The sequence below is a fragment of the Homo sapiens genome, chromosome 15 (assembly GCF_000001405.40).
Source record: "Homo sapiens chromosome 15, GRCh38.p14 Primary Assembly".
In the NCBI taxonomy this organism is placed as follows: domain Eukaryota; kingdom Metazoa; phylum Chordata; class Mammalia; order Primates; family Hominidae; genus Homo; species Homo sapiens.
In genome coordinates, this window is record NC_000015.10 from 79,959,734 (window position 1) to 79,981,632 (window position 21,899).

The 21,899-nt window shown below is 42.5% G+C and overlaps 1 protein-coding gene across 2 annotated transcripts, besides 5 other annotated features; it reads right to left on the reverse strand.

Moving 5' to 3' along the window:
• On the reverse strand, positions 1,159-11,463 carry BCL2A1 (BCL2 related protein A1). 2 transcript variants are annotated; one of them, NM_001114735.2, is made up of 3 exons: positions 10,967-11,463; positions 7,904-7,959; positions 1,159-1,441 (listed from the first exon to the last, which is right to left on the reverse strand). In NM_001114735.2, exons 1-3 carry the CDS (start codon positions 11,384-11,386, stop codon positions 1,426-1,428), a joined length of 492 nt encoding a protein of 163 aa, NP_001108207.1. In that variant the 5' UTR covers positions 11,387-11,463; the 3' UTR covers positions 1,159-1,425. The 2 variants fall into 2 exon arrangements, with proteins under 2 accessions (NP_001108207.1, NP_004040.1); NM_004049.4 differs by lacking the exon at positions 7,904-7,959.
• Positions 8,533-8,582: an enhancer, noted in NCBI's record as "active region_9937". NCBI's record gives its function as "activates an Ori minimal core promoter by ATAC-STARR-seq in GM12878 lymphoblastoid cells {active_cell/tissue: GM12878}" and the evidence as "EXISTENCE:reporter gene assay evidence [ECO:0000049][PMID:35858748]".
• Positions 10,887-12,086: an enhancer, noted in NCBI's record as "BRD4-independent group 4 enhancer chr15:80262962-80264161 (GRCh37/hg19 assembly coordinates)". NCBI's record gives its function as "activates an origin of replication core promoter dependent on BRD2, P300/CBP, MED14 and CDK7 cofactors, and independent of BRD4, by STARR-seq in HCT116 cells {active_cell/tissue: HCT116}" and the evidence as "EXISTENCE:reporter gene assay evidence [ECO:0000049][PMID:35650434]".
• Positions 17,698-17,747: an enhancer, noted in NCBI's record as "active region_9938". NCBI's record gives its function as "activates an Ori minimal core promoter by ATAC-STARR-seq in GM12878 lymphoblastoid cells {active_cell/tissue: GM12878}" and the evidence as "EXISTENCE:reporter gene assay evidence [ECO:0000049][PMID:35858748]".
• Positions 18,808-18,877: an enhancer, noted in NCBI's record as "active region_9939". NCBI's record gives its function as "activates an Ori minimal core promoter by ATAC-STARR-seq in GM12878 lymphoblastoid cells {active_cell/tissue: GM12878}" and the evidence as "EXISTENCE:reporter gene assay evidence [ECO:0000049][PMID:35858748]".
• Positions 19,258-19,337: an enhancer, noted in NCBI's record as "active region_9940". NCBI's record gives its function as "activates an Ori minimal core promoter by ATAC-STARR-seq in GM12878 lymphoblastoid cells {active_cell/tissue: GM12878}" and the evidence as "EXISTENCE:reporter gene assay evidence [ECO:0000049][PMID:35858748]".

The following is a 21,899-nucleotide window of genomic DNA, read 5'->3' on the forward strand; positions in this document are numbered from 1 at the left end:
AGATCACACCATTGCACTCCAGCCTGGGCAACAAGAGCGAAACTCTGTCTCAAAAAAAAAAAAAAAGAGAGAGAATCACACCTCCTAGGTAAAGCATTAATTAACTAAAGTGCCCGGCGAGAATGTATATGGCCCGAGCTCCGGCTTCTTTATGCAATCTATCAACAGCTTCCAGGGAAAGGTAATTTTGTAAGCCCCCGGGGGAATGTTTCTAAGAGGAAGGCAAGAGGGCCTGGCCTGTAATCCCAGCACTTTGGGAGGCCGAGGCGGGCGGATCACGAGGTCAGGAGATTGAGACCATCCTGGCTAACACGGTGAAACCCCGTCTCTACTAAAAAATACAAAAAAAAAAAAAAAAATTAGCCGGGCGTCATGGCGGGCGCCTGTAGTCCCAGCTACTAGGGAGGCTGTGGCGGGAGAATGACGTGAACCCGGGAGATGGAGTTTGCAGTGAGCTGAGATCGCACCACTGCACTCCAGCCTAGGCGACAGAGCGAGACTCCGTCTCAAAAACAAACAAACAAAAAAATTTAAAAAATTAAAATTAAAATTAAAAAAAAGAGGAAGGGAAGGCCAGGAAGGTCTAGAACAAGGTATGGAGTTCCCATATCGCAATCAGATTTGCTGACCTAAAAATTAGAACACAAGATCTAACAAACCACGTAATTCCTAATCTGTTCATTTTTACAAAACAAAAACAAAAACAAACCCATTTTTTTAAACACTAGCTCCACATTAAATTATTTACCTAATTTTCTTTGTTCAGAATATCCCCGAGTATCCTGCATGTCGGGTTGCCATATCCATCAACCCCAAATGTCAAGCCAGAGAGAGAAGGCTGCGGAGGAGGCGTCAGTGGAAACTCTAAGCAGCCAGGGGCACTGGAAACTGCAGAAAGCATAGGAAAGAAGGAAGGAAGGAGGGAAGAGGGAAGCCGACCTGAGTCTGCTTCTAGCCTGAGTCTGCTTCTCAGTCTAGCCTAGTGACACAGAGAAGGACTTTTGCGCAATGGGCACACCTGAAAGGGTCTACCGTGGGGCAGAAAAGACACCGCCTTCCTGGTCATCATCCCATAATTAATTGCCTGGCTCCTGTGTTGAGCTTTACCCTTTGGCTGAATTTCCAGCCAGACCCAAGAAATTAAGACAAAATGGCATATAGAGAAAAATACATACAATTTATTCATTACATGGGGACAAAATTTCCATAACTCTGGAAGGTCAAGTTACATCATCAAAGTTGTTTATTTAAAAGTAGAAGTATGTGTTGGCAATCGTTTCCATATCAGTCAGAAAAATTAGGCCGGTTTCACAATATGGAGTGTCCTTTCTGGTCAACAGTATTGCTTCAGGAGAGATAGCATTTCACAGATCTTTCCTGTAACTTCTAGAAAAGTCATCCAGCCAGATTTAGGTTCAAACTTCTTTACAAAGCCATTTTCCTATAAAAGAATAAATTTAACACTTTAAACATCATTGGAGATTAAGTATGCTGGAATAAAAAGCAAAAATATTTTCATTTAAATAGTGCAAATAGTTAATCTTCTACCCCTTCTACCCCTGTTAAGCAGCAGCATCTAACAGAAATACAGTGTGACCTACGTCTGTAATTTAAATTTTTTTGTAGCCATATTTTACAAAGTAAAAAAATAGATAAAACTAACTTTTAGGATAGTTTTAGAGTTATTTTTATTTTAATATGTAATCAGTATAAAATCATTAATGAGATATTCTTTTTTCATAACAAACCTTCGAAATCCAATGAGTATTTAGTACTTAACAGTACATCTTAATTCAGACTAGCCACATTTCACTTCCATAGTGGACAGCAAGCACAGCTCTAGAGGATAGAAAGCCTTTTTTTTTCTCGTTCTTGTTCAATTGTCCAACATTGATTTCAATGCACTTATATTTGTAATATGAATTATATTATACTGTAAACTGCATTGTATTGAAAATCATGAGAACTCACAGTAAATCCAAATTAAACTAATACCTTTGAAGCTATGAAAAGGTTGATAGTTTATTTTATAATCTACTCTCTTTGTGATCAGACATAGTTTTAAAAATATAGGATAACCCAATTAACTGGACATTTTATTTAGTTAATTTACAATCTGTAGTCAAATAATCCTCACCAAAAACTATCTCTGAGATCATCTAGCCTGAAGCCCTCCATTATTTTAACAAATGAGGAAATCGAGGCCCAGAAAAATAAGTTATCTAAGATTAGCCAACCCGTTGGTGCCTGGACTTGGATGAGAATGTGAACACCCTACTTCTTTCCACTCCATACATTTCCAAACAAGTGCCAAAAGAATTAGAAAATTGTTAAAATAATTTTTTCAAATGGTCATCTGGCAAACATTTACGTCTTCACCTTACAGGTTTCAGAACCTTGGGGTTACAAATGCCTGCAAGTAGCTCAGAGCCCAGTGTAACTAATATTGAAATGTAAACCGAGCATAACTCTTTGATAGTTGGGAGTGACTCGAGAGCTCTGCGGTGCCTTGGAATCATTTTATGAGCATCACTGGCAAAGCAGATGAATACCACCAGCCAGGGGGATTTCATTTGAAAGACTGCCTAAGAAAGCCATTTTCTGCCTACGTGTTAAGTGTACATCGTGCTCTGAGACATGCTGTCATGCCTTGACAGAGGAAGGAAACTGGCCCTCTCTCTTCTTCCTCTTTCCCTCCTGCCAGTACATACTCATAGTTTCCTATACACTCTCAAGAGGTATCCACTTCATTACTCCCCTTCCTAGAATTTTCATAAACCCCATGTTTCGCAAGTATAATGAGGCCCTCTGAAATTATTATTATTATTATTTGAGATGGAGTCTTGCTCTATTGCCCAGGCTGGAGTGCAGTGGCGCGATCTCAGCTCACTGCAGCCTCTGCCTCCCGGGTTCAAGCAATTCTCCTGCCTCAGCCTCCTGAGTAGCTGGGACTACAGACGCGCACCACCATGCCCGGCTAATTTTTGTATTTTTAGTAGAGACGGGGTTTCACTATGTTGGCCAGGCTGGTCTTGAACTCCTGACCTCATGATCCACTCACCTCGGCCTCACAAAGTGCTGGGATTACAGGTGTGAGCCACCGCACCCAGCATGATTTTTATTATTATGACAACGATCATTGTCTATTATCATTGAGCAGTCATAATGTATCACCTTATATACATCAATGTCGAAAGGACAGTGAACAAAGAAAAAAATGATGAATTCAGCCAGAAAGAGATTAAAATTTATTATTATTATTTTTTGAGTCAAAGTCTTGCTCTGCCACCCAGGCTGGAGTGCAATGGCGCGATCTCAGCTGGCCGCAACCTCTGCCTCCTGTGTTCAAGCGATTCTTCTGCCTCTGCCTCAGCCTCCCAAGTAGCTAGGACTATACAGGCACACGCCACCACACCCAGCTAATTTTTGTATTTTTAGTAGAAACCGGGTTTCACCATGTTGGCCAGGATAGTCTCGATCTCTTGACCTCATGATCCACCCGCCTCGGCCTCCCAAAGTGCTGGGGTTACAGGCATGAGCCACCGTGCCTAGCCTAAAATTTTTTTAAACTATGAAAAATTAAAATTAAAAGAACAATAGACTAGGAAAATATTTACATATAGCATGAAAGAGTTCATTCAAATGTAACAGAAAATCCTCAGGCCCTTAATAGTTTAAAAGGGAAAGACCATTAAAGAGAGAAATATAAATTATTAACAAGTATATGGGAAAAACACTAATAGCAGTTAAAAATGTACTTTTAACACAGTCTTATTGTTTTTTAGACCTATTAAATTGGCTTTGTTATTTTATGCCTAGCAAACCTCAAAATTATTAATAGTACCACCCACATCATTAAGTTTGTTGTGACATTGTTCCATTGATATAATACTTTTGGAAAGAAAATATGTTTTCCAATATGCTAGAGTATTGTAATTATACACACATCTTATGAACCAGTCATTCCAGTGTTAGAAATTTATCATGAGGCAGTCTTCTAAAATATTGGAGGGTAGGGGGCACCAGAAAAGCATACCCATGCTTCAGTATTGAAGCATTATATCTAAAAGGGGAAAACTCGAAAAAACCAAATTGTCTAACAATTGGGAATTGGTTAAGTAAATTATGATATAACAAATTAATGAAATATTCTGTAGACATTAGAAATTAATGCCTAATGTTAACATGAAATATGTGAGACAGTGTTGAAAATATCTACAATATGTCACAGGAAAAAACTCTTGTGCACCCTAATTATAATTGCATACAATGTCTGCATGTGGATATGTTAGGGTGATGGGAGTGACTTTTCTTCCTTTCAAAAATGTTATTTTCAAATATATTTTCTTTAATGATGCTATTTGTATCTTAAAACCATTATATAAAAATAAATATACAAACAAGGATTCAATATCCTATCAGTAATGTAGTAGTAAATAAGAATAGTTCAGGCCTTATTATTTCTGGGAATGGTGATAGTTTGTTAAATTCAGCTACCTTGGTTACAAGAAAACCTAAAGCATAAAATAATATACAGTATCAATAGTCCAAAGAAAATCAAAATCTCAGAATTTTTAAAGATACAGGCAGCCGGGCGCAGTGACTCAAGCCTGTAATCCTAGCACTTTGGGAGGCTGAGATGGGAGGATTGCTTGAGCCCTGGAGGTCGAGGCTGCAGTTAGCCAAGATTGCGCCACTGCACTCCAGCCTGGGTGACAGCAAGACCCTGTTTCAAAAAAACAAACAAACAAACAAAATACACGCAAACACCATTATGTTACTCCCACTTCTCTAAACATTATTATTCATTTATTCATTCAGGAAATATTCATTGAGCATTGGCCACATGCCAGGTACCATTTAAAGCACTGGAAACACAGTGGTGAAGAAAGCATACAGGATCCCTGCCCTCACTAAGCTTACATTTTCACGGCAGACACAGACAATAAACAGATAAGCAAGTAAATATGCAATGGGATGTCCAGTCATGAAAACTATTATGAAGGCAATAAAGTTGGGTAGGGAGACAGAGAGTGGCAGTAGTACTTTCTCAGTTGGGGTGATCAAGGAAGACTTCTCTGAGGAGGCAACCTTGGAACAGAGGCCTGAGCAAAGGGAAGAAGTAAGCCAGGCAAACTTCTGGCGGAAAATTATTCCAGGCAGAGGGAGCAGCAAGTGCAAAGGCCTTGAGGGTGGAATGTGCTTAGCTTATCCAAGGAGGCTGGAGCTATGAGAGCACGGAGGGATTCACAGATGAGATTTGAGAGGCGGTTAGAGGCTAGGTCATGTAGGGCTTTGAGGACCACAGTCAGGATTTTGTGCTTTTGTTCCCAGGGTAAAAGGGCAGCTTGGAGGGTTATGATTAGGCCAAGACATGATCTAATTCAAGTTTTTATTTTATTTTATTTTTTTGAGACAGAGTCTCACTCTGTTACCCAGGCTGGAGTGCAGTGGCACGATCTCACCTCACTGCAACCTCCGCCTCCTGGGTTCAAGCAATTCTCCTGCCTCAGCCTACCAAGTAGCTGGGATTACAGGCATGCGCCACCACGCCCAGCTAATTTTTTGTATTTTTAGTAGAGACGGGGTTTCACTGTGTTAGCCAGGATGGTCTCGATCTCCTGACCTCGTGATCCGCCCGCCTCGGCCTCCCAAAGTGCTGGGAATACAGACTTGAGCCAATGCGCCCGGCCCCTCAAGTTTTAAAAATATCGCTGTGGGGGCTATGTGGAAAACAAATTCTAGCAGATAAAGGATGGAACCATGGAGTCTGGCAGGAGGCTACTGACAGAGTCAAGTGAGAGAGGAAGGCGGCCTAGATGCACAGGGTATTACAGCATTTCAAAGGGGCAGCCAGGGGGATTTGCTGATGGATGGATGTGGGCTATGAGAGACAGGAGTCCAGGCTGACTCCCAAGGTTAGAGAACTAGCACTTAAGTGTCATACATTTCTGCCTGACTTGAGGGTCTTTTATTTTTCACTAAATGATTTTAGAGTCTCAAGTAAAAATTCAAAAGACATAGAAAATTTTGCCCCAAAACTTATTTAATCAAAGGATATATATGAACACTTGAGATAGTATCACCTTGCTGCTAGATCTTTATACCTTTTGGAAATGCCTTTGCCAAAGTGAACACTTAGTTAATCATCTATACATGTCTCTGTGTGCCCATTTATTTGGCCTCAAATTGACCGGACTATTATTTAGAGTAAGAGGATGACAAAGAAAAAAAAAAAAAAGAAAAAAAACCTCTTGACCTAACTGTATGACCCAACCTTTAAAATGGTGGTTACTGGGAAAGCACCAACTCTGACTGTACATCCTACTTCAGAAGGGCAAAGAATTACCTATCTAAACTTCCTGGAATTTCCCACGACTCTCGTAGTTGCACAGTATTTGACAGCTTGGAAAGCACTGTTTTACAAAAAGTGTTTTATAATCCTTTAGCTTTCCTTTAAAGGTAGGTAAGATTGTTTTCATTAAATATTACATATATAATAAATTATCATATGTCATGTCATATTATTATATACATTATATAAGGAATCTGAGTCTCAGAGTACCTCAGTAATTTACCCAAGGTTATACCTCTAGTGAGTGAGAAAACCAGAGTTCAAATATTCAGTTTCAGTGTTGGTTCGTTGAATCATCCCATCAGCAAATATTGTTACCTTCTATGCTAGGCATGAGGTACACAGTGATGCATTAAGTAGACACAATTTCTCCCATGTGGAGCTGAGTGCCAAGCATTCTTTCTACTCCCCCAGCATATGCAGAGGAGAATGCTTCATTGAAGGGGGAGGAAGTAAGAAGACCCATCTGGTTCAAAAGGAAGGGTGATCCCAAGAGAAGAGACATGAGTTTCATCTCATGAACATTCTAATGGTTTTTAAGAACCATCCTTTCCTTATGAATGCTGGAGGCAGCCAAATGGCACTAGCTCTCCTGTCAGATCTTGTGAGAGCACATCCTCTCAGCACTTCCAATTAGGAGAGCGGACAGGAGGAAACCATGGTAAATATGGAAGAGGACAAAAAGAGAGATGAGAAGCCACAAACAAAAGAAGGCAGGAAGGCAGGAAAGCAGGAAGGCAGGAAGGCAGGAAGGAAGGAAAGACAACTGACAAAAAGGAGAAAGAGAATAACGAAAGAGATTATGAGTCCTATTACTGATAGACCAGTCTCGTTTCTTCCCATTAGGGGATCTGTTTTACATGGTAAACAAAAATCCTAAACTTGTATTGAGTACTCATTTTCAGGAATTGTTTCAAGTGCTTTGCATATATTAACTAATTTGATCCTTATACCAGTCCCAGGACATAGGTTGCAATATTTTCCTGTTTTTACAGATGAGGAAACAAGACGTAGGGAAGTTAAGCAACTTGTACAATTCACACAGGTAGTAAGCACTCGAGCCCAGAAATGAAGCCAGGTCTGTCTGATTCTGAGTTGGTGCTCTGAACATCTATGCTGTGCTCACATACCGCTTTTTTTTTTTTTTTTTTTTGAGATGGAGTCACTCTGTTGCCCAGGCTGGAGTGGCACAATCCCGGCTCACTGCAACCTCCGCCTCCCAGGTTCAAGTGATTCTCCTGCCTTAGCCTCCTAAGTAGCTGGGATTATAGGCATCCGCCACCAGGCCCTGCTAATTTTGTATTTTCAGTAGAGACAGGGCTTTACCATCTTAGCTAGGCTGCTCTTGAACTCCTGACCTCAGGTAATCCACCCACCTCAGCCTCCCAAAGCGCTGGGATTACAGGCATGAGCCACTGCACCCGGCACATACCGCATTGTTGATTCAAAGTTTTCATAAAGTCTCTGGGCAATTTTAACATTTAATTAAATTATAGATTGTATGTGCTCACATCTTGATAAAGCTGTAAGTGCCTTCTCTACTCTTACCTCTTCTTGTGGGCCACTGACTCTACCAGCATAGGTGTGTGATTGTGCCATTTCCCCTGAAATGAATCATTCAAGAGTAAATTCATTCATTTAAGCAGATTTGTCAACATCACTATGAAAAGATGATAACAGTTTTCCATGCCAGTTTGCACTGACTCAAAAAAGCACTGCCTATCGTTGACAGAATCAATGTCTCATCTGAGCTGGGAAAGCGGCATGGAGATTGCTTTGAAATGACATTTCCAAGAGTATTTATTTCATGTCTACAACTTGAACTATTCAGGTGTTTTTTTTAAAAAAAAAAAAGAGCTTGGAAACTTTAGAAAGGCTGAGTGTGTGCACGTGCAGGCAATGTGTGTATTTGTATCTACACTCGGGAGAGGTTCATCCGGCCACACTCATGTTTACATCTGTACCACCCTTGAAAGATGAGGGTACTACTAGAAATTCTCAGAGACAATTCCACACCTCTTGCTAACAGTGAGTTCCAGGAGCTCACAAAATTTATTGTGGAGAAGTTAAATTTTTAACTAACATTTATTCACTGTCTGTGTGCTCCAAGTATTATGCTAAGCGTTGGAAATACAATCCAAACCCAAATAGAGCCTGCAAACTAGTAGAGTATTTCTCTGCAGGCTCATCTGTGGTCCTCTGTGCCAGAGAACATTTGCCTTCACCTGAAATCTACACAGTGCAGCTGAATTTCCACCAGTCCTCAAGTATAGCCTCCCACAGCCAACCGGAAGAAAACATGACAAAACATTTCACATGATTCGCCCAGCCTCAGTCAGGCTCAGTTAGAAAGAACTAAGTTCCAGGAAGAAGGTGATTGAGAAAGGGGAGTAGCTGCAGTAAGCTCTATCATGCAGGAAGGCCTTAAACAAAATGAAAAAGGCATCAAGTAAAAGATCAATAAATTTGATTGCAACAAACTTTTAAACATTTATAATGACCAAAGACATCATTAGCGTTAATCAGCAAACTAAAAGATATCTGCCACATACATAAAAATAATTTGGGTGCATGGCTCACGCCTGTGATCCCATCACTTTGGGAGGCCAAAGGGGGAGGATCACCCGAGGTCAGGAGTTCGAGACCAGCCTGACTAACATGGTGAAACCCTGTCTCTACTAAAAATACAAAATTAGCTGGGTGTGGTGGCACATGCCTGTAATCCCAGCTACTTGGGAGGATGAGGCAGGAGAATTGCTCGAAACCAGGAGGCAGAGGTTGCAGTGAGCTGAGATCACACCACTGCACTCCAGCCTGGGCAACAAGAATGAAAACTCTGTCTCAAAAAATTTAAACAATAATAAAAATAATAATTTGTATCCAGAATATTCAAAGAATTCCTACAAATCAATAAGAAAAAGACAAAATAAAAGGAAAATGGGCAAAGGGTGTAAACAGACAATTCCCTGCATTTACAAATGATCAGTTAATATATGAAAAGATGCTCAAAATGTAAAAAAAAAATTAACCTTACTAGAAATCAAGAAAACAAGAATTGAAACAAGATAAACTCTATATTTTTAGCCCAACAAATTAAGAAAATTATGATGAATTGCAGCAACCTACTGTTAGTCAGCTGGGGTAGGAGAATCCCGGGGCATATCCTAACGAGCTGCTGATGGGAGTGTAACTTGGTAGAGCCACTTTGGAGGGCAAGGACCTAACAAATTAAAAAATGTATGTACACCATGACCCAGCATCTACAACCCAACATCCACCCTAGAAAACTACACACACGCACAAGGGAAGATTTACGTAAAATGATATTCAATGAAGCATTGTGTGTGACAGCAAACTCGAAATAACCTAAACAGCTATCAGCTAGAAATGGCCAGGTACTCTACAGCACTTACATATAACAGAATATACACAGCACTCTTAATAATACTATTTTAAATAATTCTGGGTAAAAAAATAAGTGGCAGCATTAGTACCATGTACTATTTTTACATATACACATGTAAAAATATGTATGCAAAATTTATATGTATACATAAAAAATCTATGTGTATATGTAAAAAAGGTATGTGTTATATGGTATAACATATATGTTATGTAAAACATATACATAAGCATACATATACATTTTATATAAAACTTTTTTTACAAAAAATGTTTTACAAAGAAGTATTGTTTATTTTCTATGGATAGATTCAGTAGGCATGTTTTGCATGCAAAATAATTGATAACAGTGGTTACCTCTTGGGAGAGGTGAAGGCCGTTGGAGAGAGGATCAATGAACACTTAAGTGCTTTAAAAAAATAATTATTAAGTATATTGGAATATAAAGGAAACCATATACATCCAGCTGTGTCAGGCTTTTTACCAACATGAGTTTCAACACAGGCCTCTACATAGTCTTGGCTTTTTTAGGCACTGATAATAAAGTAAATTTTTATTTGAAAATTCTTGAATAAAGGTTCTTGCTGGTCATACAGTATATTATGTTTTAATCAACAAACTTTAACAGCCCGGAATTTATTATTAGTAATAATGTGTTATATATTATATGTAATGTAATTTGCTATATATTAATATATGTTACTATTTATTATGTATTAGTAAACTGAAAAACACCAATTTGTAAGCGATGAACTTACAAAAATTTACACCTGTCTTTTGCAACCCATAAATACCTAAAAATAACAGCATCTGATAGCAACTTTCTGTGCTGATTGTAGAAATTTCTGTACTGTCTGTACTGTCATGACAACCCTAGCAAAAGCTAAGTACTAGATTAGAGTGTGTGCACAGCTGATTGTGAAGCTGCATGAGAGAGGTGCTTTATTAATCCCCAAAGCTCACTACTGTAATTTATACTGTTAAGAATAAAAACTGAAAACATAAGTGCTTTCCAACTATAAAGTTCAAGTTCAAGGATTCATTGGAAATAAGCCAGAAAGTATATTTTTATTTTAAAAATTAAAACAAACCACCCAAGGAAAATAGTATTCTTAGGTAAAGTGTTTTGTTGTTGTTTTAACTAGCAAGGAAATTCTCAATTTCTATTTCACAGGAAAGAACAATGAAGAATTTTTCCATCACACATACCCAGCCTCCGTTTTGCCTTATCCATTCTCCTGTGTTATTCATTATGAACTCCGCAACAAAATATGAAATCTCCTTATAGGTATCCACATCCGGGGCAATTTGCTGTCGTAGAAGTTTCTTGATGAGAATACCTTCAAATGCAAATATGGTTACAATTCTTCCCCAGTTAATGATGCCGTCTTCAAACTCCTTTTCCATCACTTGGTTGAATAGTGTTCTGGCAGTGTCTACGGACACAACATTAACATTGTCCAAGCATGACTTCAGATTCTTTTCCACTTCTTTTTGGACTGAGAACGCAACATTTTGTAGCACTCTGGACGTTTTGCTTGGACCTGATCCAGGTTGTGGTATCTGTAGGACGCACTGCAGATAGTCCTGAGCCAGCCTGTAAATATATCCAAATTCACAGTCTGTCATCTTCTGCCTGGTGGAGAGCAAAGTCTTGAGCTGGCTCACCTTGAAGCTGTTGAGGCAATGTGCTGAGAATGCTCACTGAGCTTGACTGAGTTATGACACATGATGATACATGGAGGCTGGTGGAATTTCTGTTTGCATCACTTTATAATATCCTTCCTCCTAGTCACTTTCGTGCGTAGGCTGTGTTTCATGTCATGTATGAAAGAGAAAGTTTAAAATGTGAAAGAGGAAAATGTTTCAGAGAAGCCACTTCCTCATCCTGTGATTAATTCAGCTTTGCAAGTCTTAAATGCAGGATGTGGAGAAATTAGAATCCTTGTAGATTGCTGGTGGGAATGTGAAATGGTACAACCCCTGTGAAAATGTTGGCAGTTTCTCAAAAAGTTAAATACAGAATTGTCAAAAGACCCAGCAATTCCATTCATAGGTATACACCCAACAGATACTCAAATACTTACATACGAATGTACATGGCAGCACTATTCACAATAGCCAAGATGTGGACACAACTCAAATGTTCATCAACAGACGAAAGGATAAATAAATTATGGAACATTATTCATCCCAAAAAAGGAATGAAGAACTGATACATGCTTCAACAGGAATGAACCTCAAAAACATTAGGCTAATAGAAAGAAGCCAAACAGAAAAGGTCATACATTATGTGATTCTATTTCTATGAAATATCCAGACAGTTAAATCCATAGGATAGAAAGCAAATTGGTGGTTGACAGGGGCTGAGAAGAGGAAGGAGTAACTGCTTAATGGGTAGAAGGTTTTCTTTTGTGTGATGAAAATGTTTTACAAGGCCGGCCGCGTTGGCTCACGCCTGTAATCCTAGCACTTTGGGAGGACAAGGCGGGCGGATTGCCTGAGCTCAGGAGTTTGAGACCAGCCTGGGCAATATGGTAAATCCCCGTCTGTACTAAAATACAAAAAATTAGCCAGGCGGGTGGCGTGTGCCTGTAATCCCAGCTACTCGGGAGGCTGAGGCAGGAGAATTGCTTGAACCCGGGAGACAGAAGTTGCAGTGAGCCAAGATCACGCCACTGCACTCCAGTCTGGGCAACAGAGCGAGACTCTGTCTCCAAAAAAAAAAAGAAAAGAAAATGTTTTGCAGCTAGATAGAGGTGGAAGTTGCACAACACTGCGAAGGTACTAAATGCCACTGAATTGTTCACTTTAAAATGGTTCTGTGAATTTCAAATTTAAGAAAAGTCTTAAACGCCATCCACGGGGTAAACCGGAGTAACGACAATTTGGAATGGAGACTACAAAACAGCCTGGGTGGCAGAGAACAGGGCCTCTCGAGGTGACTCTGGCAGTACCGCCCTTGATCATTTGTAATTGAGTAAGGATGATACCGAGAGGGAAGAAAAAAATACCCTCTTTGGGCCAGGCACGGTGGCTCACCCCTGTAATCCCAGCACTTTGGGAGGCTGAGGCGAGCGGATCACGAGATCAGAAGATCGAGACCATCCTGGCTAACACAGTGAAACCCCATCTCTACCAAAAATACAAAAAATTAGCCAGGCATGGTGGCGGGCACCTGTAGTCCCAGCTACTTGGGAGGCTGAGGCAGGAGAATCCTTTGAACCCAGGAGGCGGAGCTTGCAGTGAGCTGAGATTGTGCCACTGCACTCCAGCCTGGGCGACAGAGCGAGACTCCATCTCAAAAAAAAAAAAAAGAAAAAGAAAAAGAAAATACCTTCTTTGGTCTTCACCTTCCACCTACTCTAGAATTTCTGATAGAAAACAAAATTCTGCTTTAAGCCTGACTTAATTCACATTTTTAACTCAGGTAAACTATCCGATGTGTGGATTAGAAATTGCAGGACCAGAAAGAGCACTGGACTTACAGTCAGAGGGCCTGGACTCAGTCCCAGCCAAATCTCTCTTTCTTTACTCAGTATGTACCTTGGGTCTGTGCTTAATTTGTAAAATGAGGCAATACATGTTGACCTCAGAGGGTTGAGGTGAAGTTCAAAGAGATGACCTATGTAAAGCCTCTATCACCATGCCTGGTAAAACGTACGTGCCTAATCAAAGCTAGTTCCTCATTGTTCTTTTGTGGACTAATGAGGAATTTGGCCTCCCAATCATCTCTTTACCTATCAAGGATATAACTTCATAGGTGAAATGCAAATCTCATTTGATTTAGCTATGGCAGCAATCCTGAGAAAAGGTTTGCAGTGGATGGAAGAAAAAGGAGATAACTCATGGTCGCTGGAGAAATTGAATTCACTTTTTTTTTCCATCCACATATGGAGTGACTTTGAGTCTTTTATCCTGTCTATGACCAGCTGCAAATAGGAAAAATGATTCATATATAACCTGCATTTCTGAACTATCACCATAGGGTTAAGGAGGAAAGGAGAGGTGCTGCTTAGAATGCTCGTTAATAGCGTGGCAGCCATGAAAATGCATCTTTCAGACCTACTGTGGTGGTTTAATTGACTAAGGGCCCCAGCCGCAGTGCTTTGAATCTACCACAGCTTTGCACTGAGGCCACACATCCTACAGGCTGTTCCCAGCCAATGACTGAGCAAAGCAGGAACCTTAAGATCGGTTCCTGCAAGTCAACTTCCTTTGATAGGTAACTTTGCTTCAATGACTCCCCATGGGCTTTGCTGAAACTTCCTTCGACTGCACAGTCATGGAAGACTTCCTACCCCATCTTCCTCCTTCTGTCCTTTGCAGAGGTCAGTCCTGCATTGTAGTCTGACAGCTCTGTAGTCTCTTCTGCCTCCCTCCCTCTTTTCCCTCACAGGCATTTACCCCAGTAAATCTGTTAGACGTCTAATCCCCTCATGACATTTTCTTGGAGTATCCAGACTGATATAGGACCTGTAGAGCACAAAGGAGCATACAGATATGTTGTCAAGCCACTTCTCCAGGAATTCCCCTGGGAAAGTTCTCCCGTGCCTCCTAGACTGTGCCCGTTGGCCCACAGGAGCACAAAGCCAAGAGCAGGCTGCTGTACCTCCTTAAATCATCTTTGAGCATCATAAGAACCAGGGAAAGGATGGGAAGATTGAGTTTTCTCTCTCTCATTACATTTCCTTGGTGCTGAATATTTCTTTAAAAATAAGAGAAGCAGCCGGACCCGCTGGCTCACGCCTTTGGGAGGTCAAGGCGGGTGGATCATTTGAGGTCAGGAGTTCAAGACCATCCTGGCCAACATGGTGAAAGCCCGTCTTTACTAAAAATACAGGCAGTAGAGGCACATGCCTGTAATCCCAGCTACTTGGGAGGCTGAGACAGGAGAATCACTTGAACCCAGGAGGCAGAGGTTGCGGTGAGCTGAGATTGTGCCACTGCACTCCAGTCTGGGCAACAGAGTGAGATCCTGTCCCCTCAAAATAATAATAATAATAATAATAATAGAAGCATGTGGTTTTAAAATTGCAATCAAGCATCTTTGGCTGGGTGTGGTGGCTCACGCCTGTAATCCCAGCACTTTGGGAGGCCAAGGCAGGTGGATCACTTGAGGTCAGAAGTTTGAGACCAGCCTGGCCAACATGGTGAAACTCCATCTCTACTTATAAAAAAAAAAAAGTATAAGACCAGGCACGGTGGTTTATGCCTGTAATCCCAGCACTTTGGGAGGCCAAGGCAGGTGGATCACGAGGTCAAGAGATCGAGACCATCCTGGCCAACATGGTGAAACCCTGTCTCTACTAAAAATACAAAAATTAGCTGGGCTTGGTGGCACGCACCTGTAGTCCCAGCTCCTTGGGAGGCTGAGGCAGGACAATCGTTTGAACTCAGGAGGTGGAGGTTGCAGTGAGCTGAGATTGCACCACTGCACTCCAGCCTGGGCAACAGAGGGAGACTCTGTCTCAAAAATAAAAATAAAAATAATAATAATTAGCTAGGCATTTCATTTATTCAACAAAGATCAACTACCTGCCTTCACTGGGTCCTGGCTTGGGCAATGGGTGGAAATAGAAAAAAGATAGACCCTTGTTTTTGTTTTTTTGAGACGGAGTTTTGCTCTTGTCGCCCAGGCTGGAGTGCGATGGCGTAATCTAGGTTCACGGCAATCTCTGCTTCCCGGGTTCAAGTGATTCTCCCGCCTCAGCCTCCCAAGTAGCTGGGATTACAGGCGCCTGGGAACACTTCTGGCTAATTTTTGTATTTTTAGTAGAGATGGGGTTTTACCATGTTGGCCAGACTGGTGTCAAACTGCTGACCTCAAGTGATCCGCCTGCCTCAGCCTCCCAAAGTGCTGGGATTATAGGCATGAGTCACCACACCCAGCCTAGGGCTTTATATTTCTAATCTTCTGTATGCCAAAAGGAGTTGCTTTAAAAATTCTTACATATTGTGGGCTAGGCGCAGTGGCTTACACCTGGTAATCCCAGCACTTTGGGAGGCCAAGGCAGGCGAATCACCTTAGGTGAGGAGTTTGAGACCAGCCTGACCAGTATGGTGAAACCCTGTCTCTACTAAAACTATAAAAATTAGCCAGACATGGTGGCCGGTGACTGTAATCCCAGCTACTCAGGAGACTGAGGAAGAAGAATCACTTGAACCCAGGAGGCGGAGGTTGCAGTGAACCAAGATCATACCACTGCATTACAGCCTGTGCAACAAGAGCGAAACTCCCTCTCAAAAAAATAAATAAATAAAAATAAGAAATAAAAATTCTTACATATCATGGCCTGCTTTAGTTTCTTTTGGGGAGTTTCCAAATTATCACTTTTCAAGGATAGGTGGGAGAGAGAAAGACAAAGTTCTTTCCAAAAAAGGGAAAATTCTTTCTTTCTTTTATATGAAATGTGAAAGGACTGGTGCGGGGCGGAGTGGAGGGAAGTGTGGGTCAGAGGCAAGTAGCTGACCATGGACCAAGTGTGAAGAGATGGGGGATATCTTCTCTCAGTGCCACTACAATCTGAGTCTGCATTCGCCAGGGTCTACTGTACAGGCCTGTAAAGACCAGCTCATGGTTCCCCATCCTCTGAGCTGCTCTGTCAACGCGTGGAACTTTGTATGAAATTAGGGGTCCAGCCCAAGTACATTCTGAATGAGTCAAACAGAAGGCATATTGTCTGGAAACCGTATGTGTATCCAGTTATCCCATAAACATATACTAAACTGCTACTGTGTAACAGGGACCGTATTAGGCGCTGAAGTTAAAAATTCTTGCCTTCAAAGGATTTTCAGTCTAGGAGAACCTATACCATATTATAGGCAGTCAAAGGAACTGCATAAGAGAATAATTAAAGTAGGTCACTGCAGTGGCCCCGAATGCAGAGACCCTCCCTGGAACCCTTGCTCAGGCCCTGGAGCCAGGTTTGCAGCCTCACAGCTGGGAGTTCTGGAAAATGCACATGTGTAACACTGATCTATCACAGGTGGAAACGGCAGCCAGTTGGGGAGAGGGTGATGATGGAAGATAATTGGCGAAACCTGTTCACACTTAGCAAGTACCTAGCCGGGCGCGGTGGCTCACGCCTGTAATCCCAGCACTTTGGGAGGCTGAGGCGGGCAGATCACAAGGTCAGGACATCGAGACCATCCTGGCCAACATGGTGAAACCCCATCTCTACTAAAAATACAAAAATTAGCTGAGTGTGGTGGCGGGCACCTGTAGTCCCAGCTACTTGGGAGGCTGAGGCAGGAGAATCACTTGAACCCAGGACGCGGAGCTTGCAGAGAGCTGAGATCGTGCCACTGCACTCCAGCCTGGATGACAAGAGCAAGACTGAATCTCAAAAAACAAGCAAACAAAAAATAATAATAATTATAGTAATAAGTACCTATGGCCCAACCAAGGTTCTCTCTGTGATTGTTTTGTCCAGAAGTTCTTACTGAAGAAGCGTGAAGTCCTGGCTAGGACTGAGGAAACTACTTGTGTTTGTCATGAGAATAACAATAAGAAGAATATGAGCCATCCTAGTAATTAACAATTTCTTCTATTTGTAAGGTGCTTTGGACTTCATTCTTGTGATTCTTATCATATACATATATGTGAACTACCACCTCATGAATATTCATTGTGCTTACCTAAATTGCCATATTTATATACAAATGTTCCAGTTATCCATTGCTTTGGTAACAAACTAAGTTCTCAGAACTTAGTGGCTTAAAACAGTAATCATTTATTTTGCTCACGAACCTGAACTTTGGGCAGGACTCTTTAGGAATTATTGGTCTCTGCTCCAGAATGTCTAGGGTTTAGGTGAAGGGGGTATAGCTCAGGGGGCAGAGCATGTGACTGCAGAATGTCCGGGGTTTAGCAGGAATGATTCAAACAGCTGGGGTTCGGCTCTCCTCTGACCAGGGAATAGAAGCGATGGGCTGACAGCCTAGCCAGGTAAGTCTTGATGGGGAATAAGAGGGAAGAACCCTGAAGCCACCCTGGCTGATGAGTGGCCAGAGGAATGCAAGCTACAAGACAAGGTTTGTAACCTCAAAAAGAACTACTGAGGTCAACTTCTCCTTTCTCCAAAGTTGGCTGGGCTTTTGGCTGCTTCAGAGGAGGTGACTCAGGGGAACTCCCACCCCTGGTGTGTTCTTTAGTTTCTCGAAACTTATCATGGCTACTTCCCTATTCCAAAGCCCCGACCAGAGCAAATTATCTGTAGGGGAGAACGATCTTCAATAGTGACACGAGAGTAACACAAAGGGGAGCAGGAAAATATGCACGAGAAGCCACCTGCATGCCCTCCGGTCGTCCCCCTTGGTCCCATGGGGCCAAGCCTTGGTGGTCAGAACACACAACGAAGGAAAGTCGCCCAGACCATCAAGAAAAGCCAGAGGCCCAGGGTGACAAGGCTTCATTCAGTGGGAGCTTGGTTTCTATCTGGGGAGATGAATTTCCAGGAAATCCTACAAGCATAGGATCCATGTCAGCAGGATTTCCCCCCAATTTTCCTGCTATCTGTGGGAACAAGGCTTAAGAGGGTACTGGAAAGAGTGACTAGTTGTGAACCAAGGGAGCTGAGAGGCAGGGAGGGAAGGAAAGAAGTTTCACGAAGCCTGCCTAGTGGGGCAGAATGTTTTGACTGAGGTTGTGGAGAGCTCAAAGGAGACGGAGGAGGAAAGAGTGCGGGAAAGGAAGCAAGAGGGGAATTAGAGTTACGGATGGTCCATATAAGATGGAGTGCCTGAGTGCAACTGTCATCACGTCACTAATTTGTCCTTCCTCATCCCCTCCGGCACACCTGTGCATGCCGGTGTGTGATCAGCGCAGCCTTGCCTTACCCTCTGGGAATCTGACTTTACTATCCACTGGCCCTTCCAGTAATCAGCTCAGGATCCTCCAAAGGATTCCCGCTGCCCATGAAGGGGAGCTCAGATTCCTAAAAGGCTCTCCATGCTCTGACTCAGCCTCCCCCATCAACCCAATCTCACCCCACTCCAGTCCCCTGCCAGTGCCTGCCCTGACACTGACAGGCATTTCCTTCCCTGGCACCAGCTATGTGTTCTCACTGTTGTCTCTAACTGAAATGGCTCTTCTCTTCCATTCCCGTGTCTTTAAATCTTCTCCATCTCCGAGGTCCAGTCAAATAAAGCCTTCTCTGTTTACCCTGGCCAAGAAAAACCTCTTAGTCTGTGCCCCCAAGGAATTTGTGCCTGTGTAATAGCAGGTCTCATGGTGTATCTTATACTGCAGCCATTGTGCTGTTTTATACCCTTTGCTGGACTCCAGACTGGCAGCTCTCCTAGGAAGAGGGCTGTCTTACTTCTCTTTGATTCCCTCAGAAGGCATAGTGACTGGACTGCCATATGCTAAGCACATGATAAACGCTGACTGGATTCTATTATTATCATTGCTGGTAATGTTGAGTATTCTACAAATGGCCTGTTTCGTAATCAGGGTGATACTGTAGCTGAAGCTAAATTAGTGTTTCAGTTCATTTTTACTCCACAAAGCAAAAGCAAAATTTACTTTTCTTTCCCTAAATGACATCTGGGGGGAAGTACAAGAGAAAAACCTATTTGAATAGGACTTTTAAGTGATTCGGGCAGAAGGCCTTGGACTTTCCACTGCTCTGAATGGAACAGCAAAATATTCAACATGAACCAAAGAAGCAGAAGTACTCAGTAACAGCAAGCACAGCTGGGCCCCTGGAGGGCAATTCTCTGGGAGAGTCAAGGCCTCAGAATGCACCAAAGAGCAAAGTACAGAGAATCCACAGCCACTCACTCAGCCCATTGCTCAGCCAACTTCACTGAGCACCAACTGCATGCAAGACCCTGCACTGGGCTCCAGGAATACATACACGGGGAAGTTGTTTTGTTCACAGGGCAATAGGGGTGCCACACGTACTGCCAGAAAATTCACCTGCAGAAGGTTAAGTGCCACAATACAAAATGACATGAAGTTCATCCTAGAGGAGTAAGAGAGGCCTTGCAAAGTAGGCTGACATACAAGCTGGCTCTTATGGGACCAATAGAATGCCACTGTGCAGACAGCACAGAATTGGTAAATGTGCAGGTGTGAATCATGAATTATGCTTCTAATGAAGCTGAAATGTAGAATCTGGGGCTGTGGATAAGTTGTAAAAGGAGAGCAGAAATCCAGTTGTAGCGGCCTTGTGTACTGGGTCAGAAGTTCAGAATTGACTTTGAAAAGTAACAGGGGCTGGGCACGGTGACTCAACACCTGTAATCCCAGCACTTTGGGAGGCCAAGGCGGGTGGATCATGAGGTCAGGAGATCGAGGCCATCCTGGCTAACACAGTGAAACCCCGTCTCTACTAAAAATACAAAAAAATTAGTAGGGCGTGGTGGTGGGCGCTTATAATACCAGCTGCTTGGGAGGCTGAGGCAGGAGAATGGCATGAACCCAAGAGGTGAAGGTTGCAGTGAGCCAAGATCCCACTATTGCATTCCAGCCTGGGTAACGAGCAAAACTCCGTCTCAAAAAAAAAAGAAAGAAAAGAAAAGAAAAAAGAAAAATAAAAGGAACAGGAACTTTTGAAAGGTTTTAAGCAAGAGAGTACCATGGTTAGATCTGCATTTTAGGAAGGTTATTTGGACAATCGTATTTCTTTCTTTCTTTTTTTTTTTTTTTTTTTGAGACGGAGTCTCACTCTGTCGCCCAGGCTGGAGTGCAATGGCACGATCTCAGCTCACTGCAACCTCCTCTGCCTCCTGGGTTCAAGCAATTCCCGTGCCTCAGCCTCCTGAGTAGCTGGGACTACAGGCACACACCACCAAGCCCCGATAATTTTTGTATTTTTAGTAGAGACAAGATTTCGCCATGTTGTCCAGGCTGGTCTTGAACCCCTGACCTCAAGTGATCTGCCCTCCTCTGCCTCCCAAAGTGCTAGGATTACAGGCGGGAGACAGCACGCCCAGCCTAGACAGTCCTATTTCTAATGGACTTGTTTCTGGGGAAATTGGAATCAGGAATAGCAGAGATTATTTTGTAAAATCAACTTTATCGAGGTGTAATTTCCAAAAATAAAATCCACTCTCTTTAAATGTACACTCTGATGAGTTTGGGGGAAGGCAGTATTTGGGTTTTTGTTTTGTTTTGTAGAGGCAGGGCTTTGCCATGTTGCCCAGGCTGGTATCGAACTCCTGAACTGAAGGGATCCGCCCACCTCGGCCTCCCAAAGTACTGGGATTACAGGTGTGAGCCACTGCATCTGACCAGTGACTTTGATAAGTTTTGACGATTGTAAATACAAATGTAAACATCCCTACCACAATATAACACAATATAAAACATTCCTACCGCCCCAAAATGTGCCCTTATGCCCTTATGCTCCTTTGTAGTCAATTTTTTTTTTTTTTTTTTTTTTGAGACAGAGTCTTGCTCTGTCTCCTAGGCTGGAGTACAGTGGTGAAATCTCAGCTCACTGCAACCTCCACCTCCCGGGTTCAATCCTGCCTCAGCCCCCCTGCCAAGTAGAGTAATGGGGATTACAAATGTATGCCCCCATACCCGGCTAATTTTTGTATTTTTAGTACAGACAGGGTTTCACCATGTTGGCTAGGCTGGTCTTGAACTCTGGACCTCAGATGATCCACCCACCTCGGCCTCCCAAAGTGCTGGGATTACAGGCGTGGGCCACCACGCCCAGCCTTGTAGTCAATTTCTTACCACCCTTGGCCAGAAGCAACCATTGATCTGCTTGCCATCACAATAGATTCATTTTTCCTATCCTAGAATTTCATATAAATTGGCCAGGCATGGTGGCTCATTCCTGTAATCCCAGCACTTTGGGAGGCTGAGGCGGGTGGATTTCTTGGGGTCAGGAGTTCAAGACCAGCCTGTCCAACACGGTGAAACCCGTCTCTACTAAAACTACAAAAATTAGCTGTGCACAGTGGCGCACGTCTGTAATCCCAGCTACTTGGGAGGCTGAGGCAGGAGAATCCCTGGAACCAGGAGGCAGAGGTTGCAGTAAGCTGAGACTGTGCCCACTGCACTCCAGTCTGGGTGACAGAGCGAGAGTCTGTCTCAAAAAAAAAAAAAAAATTTTCATATAAGATCAACCAGTATGTACTCTTTTTATGTCTAGCTTCTTTCACTTAGCATGATGATTTT

Excerpts from the sequence above, each read along its gene's own strand:
- BCL2A1 (NM_004049.4), bottom strand. The coding sequence starts at position 11,386 with ATGACAGACTGTGAATTTGGATATATTTACAGGCTGGCTCAGGACTAT. Across the intron at positions 1,442-10,966 it reads TAAGGCAAAACGGAGGCTGG|GAAAATGGCTTTGTAAAGAA; the intron begins GTATGTGTGATG and ends ATTCTTTTATAG.